At 40.5% G+C, this 15,132-nt stretch overlaps 1 protein-coding gene across 2 annotated transcripts in view, besides 2 other annotated features; it reads right to left on the reverse strand.

Annotated features, from left to right (window-relative positions):
• MIPEP (mitochondrial intermediate peptidase) overlaps window positions 1-15,132 on the reverse strand; it is a 159,212-nt gene that overhangs the window by 38,064 nt on the left and 106,016 nt on the right. The gene's annotated exons all lie outside the window — the stretch shown is intronic.
• Window positions 8,552-8,601: an enhancer, noted in NCBI's record as "active region_7463". NCBI's record gives its function as "activates an Ori minimal core promoter by ATAC-STARR-seq in GM12878 lymphoblastoid cells {active_cell/tissue: GM12878}" and the evidence as "EXISTENCE:reporter gene assay evidence [ECO:0000049][PMID:35858748]".
• Window positions 9,382-9,431: an enhancer, noted in NCBI's record as "active region_7464". NCBI's record gives its function as "activates an Ori minimal core promoter by ATAC-STARR-seq in GM12878 lymphoblastoid cells {active_cell/tissue: GM12878}" and the evidence as "EXISTENCE:reporter gene assay evidence [ECO:0000049][PMID:35858748]".

The following is a 15,132-nucleotide window of genomic DNA, read 5'->3' on the forward strand; positions in this document are numbered from 1 at the left end:
ACACCAAAACTGATGTCTATGCCACATTCATGTTGTGTATGTATGACACCTGTAACTTTTAACTTTGTTTCTACCATGTCTGCTAAAATACATATCAAAACACACCACAGAGCTATTTTTACAGCTGAAAAGAAAGTTCTTACACAAGCTATGTTAAGTAAATACTATAGTTTAAAATGTTGACCAGGCACGGTGGCTCATGTCTGTAATCCCAGAACTTTGGGAGGCCAATAAAAACAGATTGCTTGAGCCCAGGAATTTGAAACCAGCATGGGTAACATGGTGATAACCCATCTCTACCAAAAAAACAAAACAAAACAAAAACAACCCAAAAATTAGCTAGGCGTGGTAGCCCACCTATAGTCCCAGCTACTCAGGAGGCTGAGGTAAGAAGGATCACCTGAGCCTGGGAGCAGAGGTGGCAGTGAGCTGAGATCACACCACTGTACTCCAGCCTGGGTGACAGAGTGAGACTCTGTCTCAAAAACAAAACAAAACAAAAACCCACACAAAGTAGTATGGCAGATGTAATGTTAAGGACAAACAAAATATTAACTAGGAGCACATCTCTTCAGTATGCTAACCTCGACTGTTAATGTAATTTATATGTAATATTAAAAAACCCCTGGAAATACAGGATTGTGTCTATCAAAAGCAAATCTACTAGCAGAGCAGGGATGTAACTGACTCAAATGGAAATACATTTATTAGATGAGACATAGAAAGGTAACATGGATCTAATTAAGACAAATGAAAAACAACCACCACAGAACCAGAACCAACAAATACTTGCTCTTTTTCTTCCCAGTCAAAACTCTTTAACATTGCTTTTTCTCTCTCCTCCAACATCTGCTGAGAAAATGGTAAATTGCCCCGTCATTCTAAAGGAACCCATGCTAACATTGGGAAAGTGTCAGAGAAGTTAACACAGAAAATAAGGACGTCCATGGTCAGGAGAGTCAGCCCAGGACAGCAACGGGGCCTCTGTAGGAACAGGTACTGTGTCTGAACCCTGATCAGGCAGCTCTGGGAGTCAATGAAACCCCTGAGGCACACGACAAGAAGGGTTCTGTTTTTGTTTTCATGATAATCATAAGTCCTTCAGTAAAGGAGGTGTGTCTGCATAGGATCAGGGAAAATCCATGAAAGGAAAAATGGAAAAGGACATGAGTGCCCTTTGTAGACCATGAGATTTTCTCTCCAGGCATAGAGTACAACAAAAAGTGATGCAGAAAGGACAGTAACTTCTCAATGGGAAGGAGTCCAAGGGCAGGTGTATCACCAACAGATTGCACACAAGTGTGCAAGGAAGCAGGTGTGTGGGGGGAGGGCTATAACTGGGCTTTGTGGGCAGAGGCTCCATTCCTGTAGGGGCTCATAGCTTTAGAACCCAGGTCTCCGCCTGCCGTGGGGAATCAGGCAGCCAGCACCTCTACCCTGTTAGATAAACTTGCAATACAAAAAGGAGAGGGACAAATGGGACAATTTGATGTCACATACGGCTGCTATGGTCCCTTCCAAAACTCATGTTGAAACTTAATCCCCAAAGCAGCAGTATTGAGAGGTGGGGCCTTTAAGAGGTGACCGGATCATGAGGGCCCTGACTTCATAAACAGACTATCATGGGAGTGGGACTGGTGGCTTTATAAGAAGAGGAAGAGAGACCTGAGCTAGCCCATGAGCACACTCAGCACCCTTGCCATGTGAGGCCCTTTCCCATCTTGGGACTCTGCGGCGTCCCCACCAGCAGGAGGGCTCTCACCAGATGCAGATCCTCAACCTTGGATTTACATGCCTCCATTACTGTAAAAAATAAACTCCTCTTTGTAAATTACCCGGTTTCAGGTATTCTGTTATAAGCAACAGAAAATGGGCTAGGAAAGGGCCTACTGACTTCTTTCATTAAACAGGCAAGCAGAACCCTGGAATGGCTTCCTCAGACCATGTCCTGCTCAGACTTCACTTCCTGTCACTCTCCCGTTGTTCACTGTGCTCCAGACATGCCACTGACTTGCTGGTCCAGTAGCCTCCAGGTAAGCTCCTGATCCTAGCTCTCTCCTCTCTGCCTCAGATACTCTTCCCCCAGGTCGATCCATATGGCTCATTCTCACTTTCCTCAATGTCTTTTTAAATTACGCTTCTTCAACAAGACCTTCTCTGATGAGTAAAAAAAGGGGAGGGGGTCAGGATGCTGTCTCAGTGCCAATTCCAGGCACAATTGGAACAACCGGTTTCACTGCTGTCCCCCTGCCCCCAGGCAGCTGGGACCTCAGCATCGAAGTCTGTGCAGATGAACTCCCACTCCATACCCTCTTGCTCAATCAGGGCCTAACTCCCCTGCCTGCCAGCTTGGCCTCCCCCAGGTGCTCTCTGGTGTGGCTGATGTCCTGCAATTGGGCTGGAGTCCTCACCTTCAGAGCCACTCACCCACCACCAGAGACCGCCACTGCCCCCTCCCCATTAATCTAATCAGCCAGCACCTGGGATTATTTCAGTGGGAAGATTTATTGAAGAGGGGGTAGAACACACGAGTTTATTATTTTCTAATGAGTTTGTATTGTCCCTTTACAGTCTTCATAGAGAAAACTGGAGAGGCTGTCCTAACTTCACCTCAGCATTGGCCGTGGCAGCGAGGGCCTGCCCTGTGTCTTGTGCGTGCTCACCACCCTTTCCTCTGTACCTCTGCATGGCGCATAAACACTAGGCACAGAGACTTGAAAATCATCCATCTTTCCAAACCTCACTGAATTCACAACTGGCCAGCACTAGAGAGGACCCTGACCTCATGGCTGCACAGTCACTGGGGGGTGCAGACAGTAAATCCGGGATCACTGGACAGTCACACTGCAACAAGTGCTATGGGAATGCAGGCTCTGCACTTACCGGCTGCACAGCCAACACCAGATCCCACAACCACCCTGACCGTGGCCACACCCACCTCCTAGGGCTATGGCATGGGCTAAAGGAGAGAAGGGAAGGGAAAAGTGTGCACTGTGCTGGTCCTCGGGATGGTCCAGTTTGTCAGCTGCTAACAGAATCCTTTCTAAGCAGGGTGGACATCAGACACCTCTTTGTATCAGTGACTAGTGGGGTGTCTTCAATAAATATTTACACAAACAATGATAAAAGGAGCAAGAATATTAGACATAAATGACTATAATTTGGAAACAGTTTACATCTGTAAGTTCAAATTCTTTTTCTATAATTAACCAGTTTCAAAAATCAGTAAAATTATAAAGTTATCAACAAATAGGTAACATGTAACTAATTTGCTGACTACACACACACACACACACACACACACACACACACACACATCTGCATTTCTGAAGTGACAAAACAAAATTAAAATAATACTGCTATTAGCTTCTCATAAGCTTAGGCCAAGGTGTATGTGAAATACTGAAGAATGCATGACTCCTACACAGACTCTTCCCTAACAGTCATGTTTCATCTGAAACCCGTGAAATGTGGTGTTTGCACAGCCACATCCTCATTTCAGTGTCTCTTACCTATTAACCCTTACCTAATAACTCTAAATGATTCACTCAACTTCCTTGGTTTGAATAATTGCTGCTCCCCAAACTTATTTTCTCATTTTAATGGTGAAAGATCCCCCTAAGATCCTATTAAAAAGTACATCCTATTAACTTTCCTTTACATTGCCTAAGAGGTAAAAAGCCAGACGTGTGCAATTAGGAGGTGTGTCTTACGAAGGATTATGCTCCTGCTAAGATGAAACTAAATTAATAAAGACAATAAAAACAACTTCACCTCCAGGAATCCGTAACAACTGCCCCCCCACTTCCCATGTAAAGGCATTCCAGAGCTTATTAACTGCACATTCTAAAGGATAGCCCAGGGCTTGTGACAGTATGTCATTTGCAGGTCATGTTACCACCTGTATTTTGTTCAGAATAACTGACAGAAATAAAGAATGTGACTGAGCCACCGAAATGACTAAGGCTGCCTGCATTCTATCAACATGTGATCAATCCTCCCTGATTGTCTCATCTGAAGAATTTCCAAAATTCCTGATGCAAGAGTTTTTAGCAATTTTTTTTTAACAACAACAACAAAAAAAACGGCTACAGTTGTGGCTGAAATATATGGAAAACTTGGGTAATGCCAAACAGTACATATTATGGAAATTTAAAAAACATATTAGATAAAAATATTCAATACCATTAGTTAAAAGTAGTATTCACTATAAATAATGCTGCTGCGCTGAAGTATTCTTACAATTATTAGTATAAAAAGAGAATCAACTAGCATTACTTTAAAATGCTATAATATTATAGGTATTTTATATATAGAAGCTCTGTAAGAGCTTTCTTCTCACATCTCCTAAGTTTGAAGGTTTGAGGTGTAATGTTAAAAGGATCTGTGGTGAATGACAACTTGTTGAAGGCTGAGGTGAGCTGATGGCCTCATATTTCCTTCTAGATCTATAGGTTACAACGTTAAACCTAATCCCTCAGAACACTAGCCAGAACACCCTTCCCAGGAAAGCTGGTCTCTAACTTCTATGGCAATTCAGTCTCCCTCTTCCTGGGAAGGAATGGAGGCATTGAGTGTGGCCCATCACAGCCCTTCCCTGCTCTAAGACAGTGACTCTTCTTTAAAAAATTGAGATAAACATCACATACCATATAATTCACTCTTTTCAAGTGTACACTTAAATGGTTTTCAGTATATTCACAAAATTGTGCAACTTTAAAAAACTGAGATAAACATCACACACCATATAATTCACTCTTTTCAAGTGTACACTTTAATGGTTTTCAGTATATTCACAAAATTGTGCAACCATCGTCACTAACTCCAGCACATTTTCTCACTCCCAAGAGAAACCCCGGGCCCATTCGCTGTCCCTCTCCATTCCTCCTTCCTTCAGCTCCTGGTAACCACTGATCTATTTTCTGTCTCTATGGATTTACCTGTTCTGGACATTTCATATAAATGAAATCACACAATAGAGGTTTTTTGTGTCTAGTTTGTCGCACCGAGCGTAATGTTTTCAAAGTCTATCCATGTTGTAGCAATACTTCATTTCTTTTTATGACCAATTTTCCATTGAGTGGATACAAGGCTTTTGTGCATCCAGTCATCTATTGAGTGGTTTCCACTTTTTGACTATCATGAATAATGCTGTTATGTACATTTGTGCATACATTTTTGGGTGGGCATATGTTTTCAGTTCTATTGGGTGAGAGTTCCCTACCACCTGGGAGTGGAACTGCTGGGCCATCTGGTAACTCTGTTTAACTTTTTGAGGAGCTATGAGACTGTTTCCCAGAGCTGCTGTACCCTTTTACATTCTCACCAGCAACGTATGAGGGTTCCAATTTCTCCACATCCACACCAACACTTGCTACTGCCCATCTTTTTATTATATCCATCCCAGTGGGAATGAAGTAGTCTCGCACTGTGGTTTTGATTTGCATATCCCTAATGATGCTGAACATCTTTTCATGTGCTAATTTGTCATTTTTGTATCTTCCTTGGAGAAATATCTCTTCAAACCCTTTGCTCACTTTAAAATGGGTTGCTTTTCTAAAGATTAAACTCTGATCAGATACATATTCTCCCATTCTGTGGGTTATTTCACTTTCATGGTAGTGTTCTTTGGATACAAATTTGAACTCATTAAAATTAAAAAATTTGTCCCCATTAAAATAAAAAAAATCTTCTGTTTCTTTGGTTGTTTATGCTTTAGGTGATGTATCTAAGAAGCCATTGCCTAATCCAAGGTCATAAATGTGTATGTAATCCTATGTTTTCTTCTAGGAATATTCCAGTTTTAACTCTTAAATTTAGGTCTTTGATCTATTTTGAGTTAATTTTTGTATATAGTACAAGGTAGGAGTCCAATTTCATTCTTTTGCATGTGGAGATCCAGTTTTCCCAGCACCATTCTTCGAAAGGACAATTCTTTCCCCAATTAGTTGTCAACTGAACATAAATGTATGGCTTTTTTTTTTCTGGAATCTCAGTTGTATTCCATTGACCTGTATGTTTATCCTTATGCCAGCACCACACAGTCTTGATTACTGTAGCTCTGTAGTAACTGCTTCAATTGGGAAGTGTGAGCCCTCTAGCTTTGTTCCTTTTCAAGATTGTTTTGGCTATTCTGGGTCTCCCACATTTCCGTGAGAAATTTTATTAGATTTGTCATTTTCTATAAAAAAAAGCAGCTGAGGTTTTGATAGAGATTGTGTTAAATCTGTAGGTCAATTTGGGGTGTATTGCCATCTTTAACAATAGTAAGTCTTACAATCCATGAACATGAGACATCTTTCCATTTATTTAGGTCTTCTTTCTTTCAATAATGTTTTACAGTTTATACTTTACAAGTCTTGAATTTCTTTTGCTAAATTTATTCCTAAGTATTTTACTCTTCCAGATGCTATTGTAAATAGAACGGTCTTCTTAATTTAATTTTTAGGTTGTTTATTGCTAGAATACAGAAAAACAATTTTTGCATATTGATCTCATACCATGCAACCCTGCTGAACTGGTTTATCAGTTCTTTTTTTTTTTTTTTTTTTTTTTTTTTGAGATGGAGTTTTGCTCTTGTTGCCCAGGCTGAAGTGCAATGGGATGAGCTCGGCTCACTGCGGCCTCTGCCTCCCAGGTTCAAGCAATTCTCCTGCCTCAGCCTCCCTGGTAGCTGGGATTACAGGTGCACACCACCATGCCCGGCTAATTTTTTGTATTTTTAGTAGAGACAGGGGGGTTTTGCCATGTTGACCAGGCTGGTCTTGAACTCCTGGCCTCAAATGATCCACCTGCCTTGGTCTCCCAAAATGCTGGGATTACAAGCATGAGTCACTGCACCCAGCCTATCAGTTCTCTGTGTGTGTGTGTGTGTGTGTGTGTGTGTGTGTGTGTGTGTGTGTGTATTCCTTAGGATTTTCTATATACAAGATCATGCATGTCATCTGCAGAGAGATAATTTTATTTCTTCCTTGTAATATGAATGCTTTTAATTTTTTTCTTGACAAATTCCTATGGTGAAAACCACCAGTACAATATTGAATAGAAGGGGCAATGGCAGACATTGCTGTCTTATTCCCATCTCAGAGGAAAGCTTTCAGTCTTTCACCCTGAGTATAATGTCAGCTGTGGGCTTTTTCTAGGTGCTCTTTTTAGGCTGGGGATCAGCATTGACTCTTGATTCCTTATCCGCAGTTACTGCCAATCAATCCTGAAGTCCTGATAATTTTATCTCAATATATTCCTTGTAGTTTTTCCCTTCCATACTCATCCTCAATGCCCAGGTTTAGATCCTCATCACCTCTTGCCTAAACTGTAAGGCCTTTGGGGTACGTAGGGTCTATGTGCATATATGTTTTACTTACCAAAAAAAGTTACATTCATTAAACAAAACCAAAATGCTGTGGAAAATGAAGACAAGAACAGGCAGCAGCTACCAGAAATAAAAATATCCTTGCCAAAACAAAAACAAAAACCAAACCAAAAACAGTGGGAAGAGCAGGAGGATAAAATCAAGGCAATCTCCAAGAATAAAGCAAAAACACAGGAAGAAGAGATAAATCAAATGGAGGAACTTCTGTTTCATCAGCATAATGGGTCTGCTATTTCCAACAGTCCTGAATGAAACAACTAAACTCTGGATAAAATATTTAAAAGAATTTTTTTTGGTAAATGTGTTGCTGAGAGAAGAATAAAATGTTATCAAAATGATGTAGATCATTCCAGCAGATTAAAAAACAGATGTTTTTAAGTATATGGTCATATTCACTGTATTTTTCTATTTGTTTTCATCTATTTCTTGGATAGATTGTTTTCTCCCTGCCTTCAATCTCTGTACCCCCCATCTATCACCCATACTGAAACCTTAACTTTTTGCCTGCAGCTTATATCTGCTCATGTCACTTCTCTGCTTACAAACTTCAAACCTCTAAGGCCTCCCTATTCCCTCCCCAGTCATATATAAGCCTCTGAGCAGACATAAAGAACTCTTCAGGACTTGATCCCAGTCTGATTTTCAACCCCCAAACAACAGCCCCTCCCTTCTGTTCCAAGTTCCCTATCATCAAGCAACCAGGACTAATATATTCTCTAACCACTTTCTATCATACCTTACCTGTTCCTCACTCCCTCCTCCCTACTGTGGCTTAAGCTAGGGTAAAATCTGAAGCAGAAGCAACTAAGCCCAGATTAATGGTCATTTCTGACTCCACGAGGCAAAATTCAACACTTCTCTATTTATAATAGTGTTCTCACAGCACTGCATTGTATCATTTTTCACACTGTCTTGTACATGTATATATCATCCATCCTGAAAGATGTCATTCAAATGAATTAACACACATGAGGAGAAGTGGTGGTGGGATTAAATAAAAGTTGTGGTTTTAGTGTTCTAAATAATTTAGTTCTAAAACATCTCTATCGGAAAAAGGTTTTATGGTTGACTTGGGAAAGAAAGTAGAATAAGCAAAATCACTGGGCAGGATAAGTTAACATGGAGATTTTTCAAACTGTGCACCAGTATCTACTAATGGTTTGTAAAATCTGTACAGTAGCTTGTGACCTGCATTAAAAAAAAAAAAGAAGAAAATGGGACAGAAAATATATAGTGCACAGCACAGAGGGTAACTTTAGATTTGTGGTACTTTTGTTTCAGTTTCACTCCCACATATATGTACATATACACCTAAATGTACATACATGTATCTGTACAATAGATCATAATGTAAAATGCATTTCTTACTGCAGGTTTGCTCAAAATGCTTAAACGCCAGTGAGTAAACAGTTCAAGGACAGATTAAAAAATCAGTGCTACTAAAGTAAAAAGAGAAGTCAAGGATATAAAGGCAGGTGAAAATGCTTAAGATGGGTGATCTCGTGGCTTATTCTGACTTTACCCATGGGGCAAGTGGACCATAAACACAGCAATGGCTGCTGTGGCTCTCAACTCTGAGCACTTTAAAGTATTTGTGTTTCTCTAACATGGTAGCATCAGAATGCAGGGCAAGTCCCAGTGATGTGCAAGTCTCTACTGATCTTGCTTCTGTTGTTCCTGTCTTCATGATGCACTTAAAATCTGGTTATCATCTAAACAGAACAAAAGGAGTCATAGGTTGTAGGTTAAACTTATAAACTATGTTTTGCTAACCATTCTGAGATGCACCATCCTAGAAAATAAAAGACAGTGAATTTCTGAAGTAATCATAATGAACAAATAGAGGATGTGAAAGTAATTCAGATTACTGTGTTACAGTATTGTACCACAGTTAATTTCCTGGGTTTGACGGTACACATGGTTACACAGAATGTTATCACTGGGGAAGCTGGGTGAAAGGTACTTTGCAACTTACGAACATAAACTATTTTGAGATAAGAAGTTATTAAAAAATAAGATTAGAGTGTTTTGTGAATTCCAAGGATTAGTCCAATAGACTAGTTTGAGATTGACTCCACTGCAGTAATCATGTTTATTACTCACTACTGATGAGCTTAGAGCTGAATTACCTTATTTCAAATAAGCAAACTCCACTGCACCTAGTGTTACTCTACTTGCCTTCAGTACTGTGCTTCTCTAAACTAACTGTGGCAGCATATTATTCTCTAAAATATTTTAATGTATTTCTTTATTCATGTTCATTTAAATTCAATCAGGACAGAGTGTTCAACTTCTTAGAGGACATACTAAGTTTTAAGAGGGAAAATGGGTTAGAAAAAGTGGTTATGAAATAAATGTAAACTATCATTTGATTTATAGACATCTATTGCTTCCATTTAAAGGACTTAGCAGTATGAAAGGATTGTTTAGACGTACTTTGGCTTAAGTGGGAAAAAGTTATGGCTGCAATTGTATAAATCATTTCAAATACTGTTTGATTTTAGCTTTTGAGTGTCTGAGTTTTTCTAAATGTTCTGAGAAAGTCTGGTTCACTTTTCACTCTCCATAAATCAGCAAGTATTTCAAAGCTTCCCCAAGACACAAAAAAACATACACATGTGAAAAGAATGATTGCATCATCACTAAGTTAGGAATTTGAAGATAATGTATGTTAAAGAAAGCAAATAACTGCTTTCTTTTATAATTATTAAATATATACATTACAAATCATGATGTGTGCAAGACACCAAGATAAACTATTCTAGCACATTAATAATCACATATGGTCATGGAAGGCTGTTGGGGGCACGAATCACCATAACCATGCTCAAGCAACTAGCTGTGCATTATCATGGGGACCCCTGGTGGCCTGGCCAATGGCTAGCCTTGGGGAGCAGAGACTCCCTCAAAACTCACTAATGAAAGAATGCTGAACACACAGATTCCCATCAATTTTGGTCTATTTGTTTTTCTTGCTTTGACACATCCTATGTGCAACTGATTTTATTTATACATACCATTTTTATCATGTCAATTACCCGTTTTTTTCAATTCCCCTTTCAAGCTCTACATTATTTTATTATACTGACAATAATAATAATAATAATACATGACATCTGCTTAGTGTTTACTGGGTGCCAGGCACTGGGCTAAGTGCTTTGATCATACATTATTTCAGTCATAGTCCTGTGATTTAGATATCACCATCTTACTGATGAAGATCTCACGCCTAGCTCACCTGATTCTACAACACCACACTCTACAGTATGCCTGAATTATCCATCATATCTGATTAATCTCACTCTCCTCAGAGGAGCCACCTCTACTCATGTTGTAACTCCTCCACACAGAGCTTCAGCTTTGTACAACCTGTTTCCACACATAACTTTCTCAATCCTTTCTTGTTAATTTGAATATGCCCACTCTTTATCCTGGAATGTTCTCTTCTCTCAAGTACACACACTAGCACTCTTTCAAACCATAGGTCAAACCAGAAACATGCCAAATAAGGATGTTTGCCTTTTCTATTATTATTTAGCAACAGTTTGAAAGTTCAAGCCATTGAATCAGCTGAGGACAAACAGAAACGTACAGCTATTGGAAAGCAGCAGCAAAAATGTTATTTACAAATGTTGTGAGTGATGTGTATGTAGAAAACCCCGAAATTGTGGCAGGTATCAAAGATAGTATGTTTTCATTAGAATTTCCAGCCACAAAAATCAACAAATGAAAACAAGTAACTTCCTTATGTATCAGTGATAATCAGCTAGAAAAAGGTGGGAGGATAAACATCCCATTCACAACAACAAAAAACCATAAAACAAATACATTTAAAAAGGTGTATGGGGGGGGCAGTTCCAAGATGGACGAATAGGAACAGCTCCAGTCTACAGCTCCCAGCGTGAGTGACGCAGAAGACGGGTGATTTCCACATTTCCAACTGAGGTACTAGGATCATCTCACTGGGGCTCGTCGGACAGTAGGGGCAGGACAGTGGGTGCAGCCCACCGAGTGTGAGCCAAAGCAGGGTGAGGCATCGCCTCACCCAGGAAGCACAAGGGGTCAGGGGATTCTCTTTCCTAGCAAAGGTAAGGGGTGGCAGATGGCACCTGGAAAATCGGATCACTCCCACCCTAATACTGTACTTTTCCAACGGTCTTAGCAAACGGCACACGAGGAGATTATATCCCGCGCCTGGCTCAGAGGTTCCCACACTCACAGAGCCTCGTTCATTGCTAGCACAGCAGTCTGAGATTGATCTGCAAGGCAGCAGCGAGGCTGGGGGAGGGGCGCCCACCATTGCTGAAGCTTTGAGTAGGTAAACAAAGTGGCCAGGAAGCTGGAACTGGGTGGAGCCCACCTCAGCTCAAGGAGGCCTGCCTCAGTAGACTCCACCTCTGGGGGCAGGACATTGCCAAACAAAAGGCAGCAGAAACCTCTGCAGACTTAAATGTCCCTGTCTGACAGCTTTGAAGAGAGTAGTGGTTCTCCCAGCATGGAGTTTGAGATCTGAGAACGGACAGACTGCCTCCTCAAGTGGGTCCCTGACCCCCGAGTAGCCTAATTGGGAGGCACCCCCCAGTAGGGGCAGACTGACACCTCACACGGCCGGGTACCCCTCTGAGACGAAGCTTCCAGAGGAATGATCAAGCAGGAACATTTGCTGTTCAGCAATATTTGCTGTTCTGCAGCCTCCGCTGCTGATACCCAGGCAAACTGGGTCTGGAGTGGACCTCCAGCAAACTCCAACAGACCTGCAGCTGAGGGTCCTGACTGTTAGAAGGAAAACTAACAAACAGAAAGGACATCCACACCAAAACCCCATCTGTACGTCACCATCATCAAAGACCAAAGGTAGATAAAACCACAAAGATGAGGAAAAAACAGAGCAGAAAAGCTGAAAATTCTAAAAATCAGAGCGCCTCTCCCCCTCCAAAGGAACACAGCTCCTCACCAGCAACGGAATAAAGCTGGATGGAGAATGACTTTGATGAGTTGAGAGAAGAAGGCTTCAGATGATCAAACTTCTCCGAGCTAAAGGAAGATGTTCAAACCCATTGCAAAGAAGCTAAAAACCTTGAAAAAAGATTAGACGAATGGCTAACTAGAATAACCAGTGTAGAGAAGTCCTTAAATGACCTGATGGAGTTGAAAACTACGGCACAAGAACTACGTGACGAATGCACAAGCTTCAGTAGCCCATTCGATCAACTGGAAGAAAGGGTATCAGTGATTAAAGATCAAATGAATGAAATGAAGCGAGAAGAGAAGTTTAGAAAAAAAAGGGTAAAAAGAAATGAACAAAGCCTCCAAGAAATAAGGGACTATGCGAAAAGACCAAATCTACGTCTGATTGGTGTACCTGAAAGTGACGGGGAGAATGGAACCAAGTTGGAAAACACTCTGCAGGATATTATCCAGGAGAACTTCCCGAACTTAGCAAGGCAGGCCAACATTCAAATTCAGGAAATACAGAGAACACCACAAAGATACTCCTCGAGAAGAGCAACTCCAAGACACATAATTATCAGATTCACCAAAGTTGAAATGACGGAAAAAATGTTAAGGGCAGCCAGAGAGAAAGGTCGGGTTACCCACAAAAGGAAACCCATCAGACTAACAGCAAATCTCTTGGCAGAAACTCTACAAGCCAGAAGAGAGTGGGGGCCAATATTCAACATTCTTAAAGAAAAGAATTTTCAACCCAGAATTTCATATCCAGCCAAACTAAGCTTCATAAGTGAAGGAGAAATAAAATACTTTACAGACAAGCAAATGCTGGGAGATTTTGTCACCACCAGGCTTGCCCTACAAGAGCTCCCAAAGGAAGCACTAAACATGGAAAGGAACAACTGGTACCAGCCACTGCAAAAACATGCCAAATTGTAAAGACCATCGATGCTAGGAAGAAACTGCATCAACTAGCGAGCAAAATAACCAGCTAACATCATAATGACAGGATCAAATTCACACATAATAATATTAACCTTAAATGTAAATGGGCTAAATGCTCCAATTAAAAGACACAGACTGGCAAATTGGATAAAGAGTCAAGACCCATCAGTGTGCTGTATTCAGGAAATCCATCTCATGTGCAGAGACACACATAGACTCAAAATAAAGGGATGGAGGAAGATCTACCAAGCAAATGGAAAACAAAAAAAGGCAGGGGTTGCAATCCTAGTCTCTGATAAAATAGACTTTAAACCAACAAAGATCAAAAAAGACAAGGAAGGCCACTACATAATGGTAAAGGGATCAATTCAACAAGAAGAGCTAACTATTTTAAATATATATGCACCCAATACAGGAGCACCCAGATTCATAAAGCAAGTCCTTAGAGATCTACAAAGAGACTTAGACTCCCACACAATAATAATGGGAGACTTTAACACCCCACTGTCAACATTAGACAGATCAACAAGACAGAAAGTTAACAAGGATATCCAGGAATTGAACACAGCTCTGCACCAAGCAGACCTAATAGACACCTACAGAACTCTCCACCCCAAATCAACAGAATATACATTCTTCTCAGCACCACATCACACTTATTCCAAAATTGACCACATAGTTGGAAGTAAAGCACTCCTCAGCAAATGTAAAAGAACAGAAATTATAACAAACTGTCTCTCAGACCACAGTGCAATCAAACTAGAACTCAGGATTAAGAAACTCACTCAAAACTGCTCAACTACATGGAAACTGAACAACCTGCTCCTGAACGACCACCGGGTACATGACAAAATGAAGGCAGAAATAAAGATGTTCTTTGAAACCAGTGAGAACAAAGACACAACATACCAGAATCTCTGGGACACATTTAAAGCAGTGTGTAGAGGGAAATTTATACCACTAAATGCCCACAAGAGAAAGCAGGAAAGATCTAAAAATGACACCCTAACATCACAATTAAAAGAACTAGAGAAGCAAGAGCAAACACATTCAGAAGCTAGCAGAAGGCAAGAAATAACCAAGATCAGAGAAGAACTGAAGGAGACAGAGACACAAAAAAGTCTTCAAAAAATCAATGAATCCAGGAGCTGGTTTTTTGAAAAGATCAACAAAATTGATAGACCAGTAGCAAGACTAATAAAGAAGAAAAGAGAGAAGAATCAAATAGACGCAATAAAAAATGATAAAGGGGATATCTCCACCAATCCCACAGAAATACAAACTACCATCAGAGAATACTATAAACACCTCTACGCAAATAAACTAGAAAATCTAGAAGAAATGGATAAATTCCTTGACACATACACTCTCCCAAGACTAAACCAGGAAGAAGTTGAATCCCTGAATAGACCAATAACAGGCTCTGAAATTGAGGCAATAATTAATAGCCTACCAACCAAAAAAAATCCAGGACCAGACGGATTCACAGCTGAATTCTACCAGAGGTACAAGGAGGAGCTGGTACCATTCCTTCTGAAACTATTCCAATCAATAGAAAAAGAGGGAATCCTCCCTAACTCATTTTATGAGGCCAGCATCATCCTGATACCAAAGCCGGGCAGAGACACAACCGAAAAAGAGAATTTTAGACCAATATCCCTGATGAACATCAGTGCAAAAATCCTCAATACTGGCAAACTGAATCCAGCAGCACATCAAAAAGCTTATCCACCATGATCAAGTGGGCTTCATCCCTGGGATGCAAGGCTGGTTCAACATATGCAAATCAATAAACATAATACAGCATATAAACAGAACCAAAGACAAAAACCACATGATTATCTCAACAGATGCAGAAAAGGCCT

This window comes from Homo sapiens, chromosome 13 (assembly GCF_000001405.40).
Source record: "Homo sapiens chromosome 13, GRCh38.p14 Primary Assembly".
Taxonomy (NCBI): domain Eukaryota; kingdom Metazoa; phylum Chordata; class Mammalia; order Primates; family Hominidae; genus Homo; species Homo sapiens.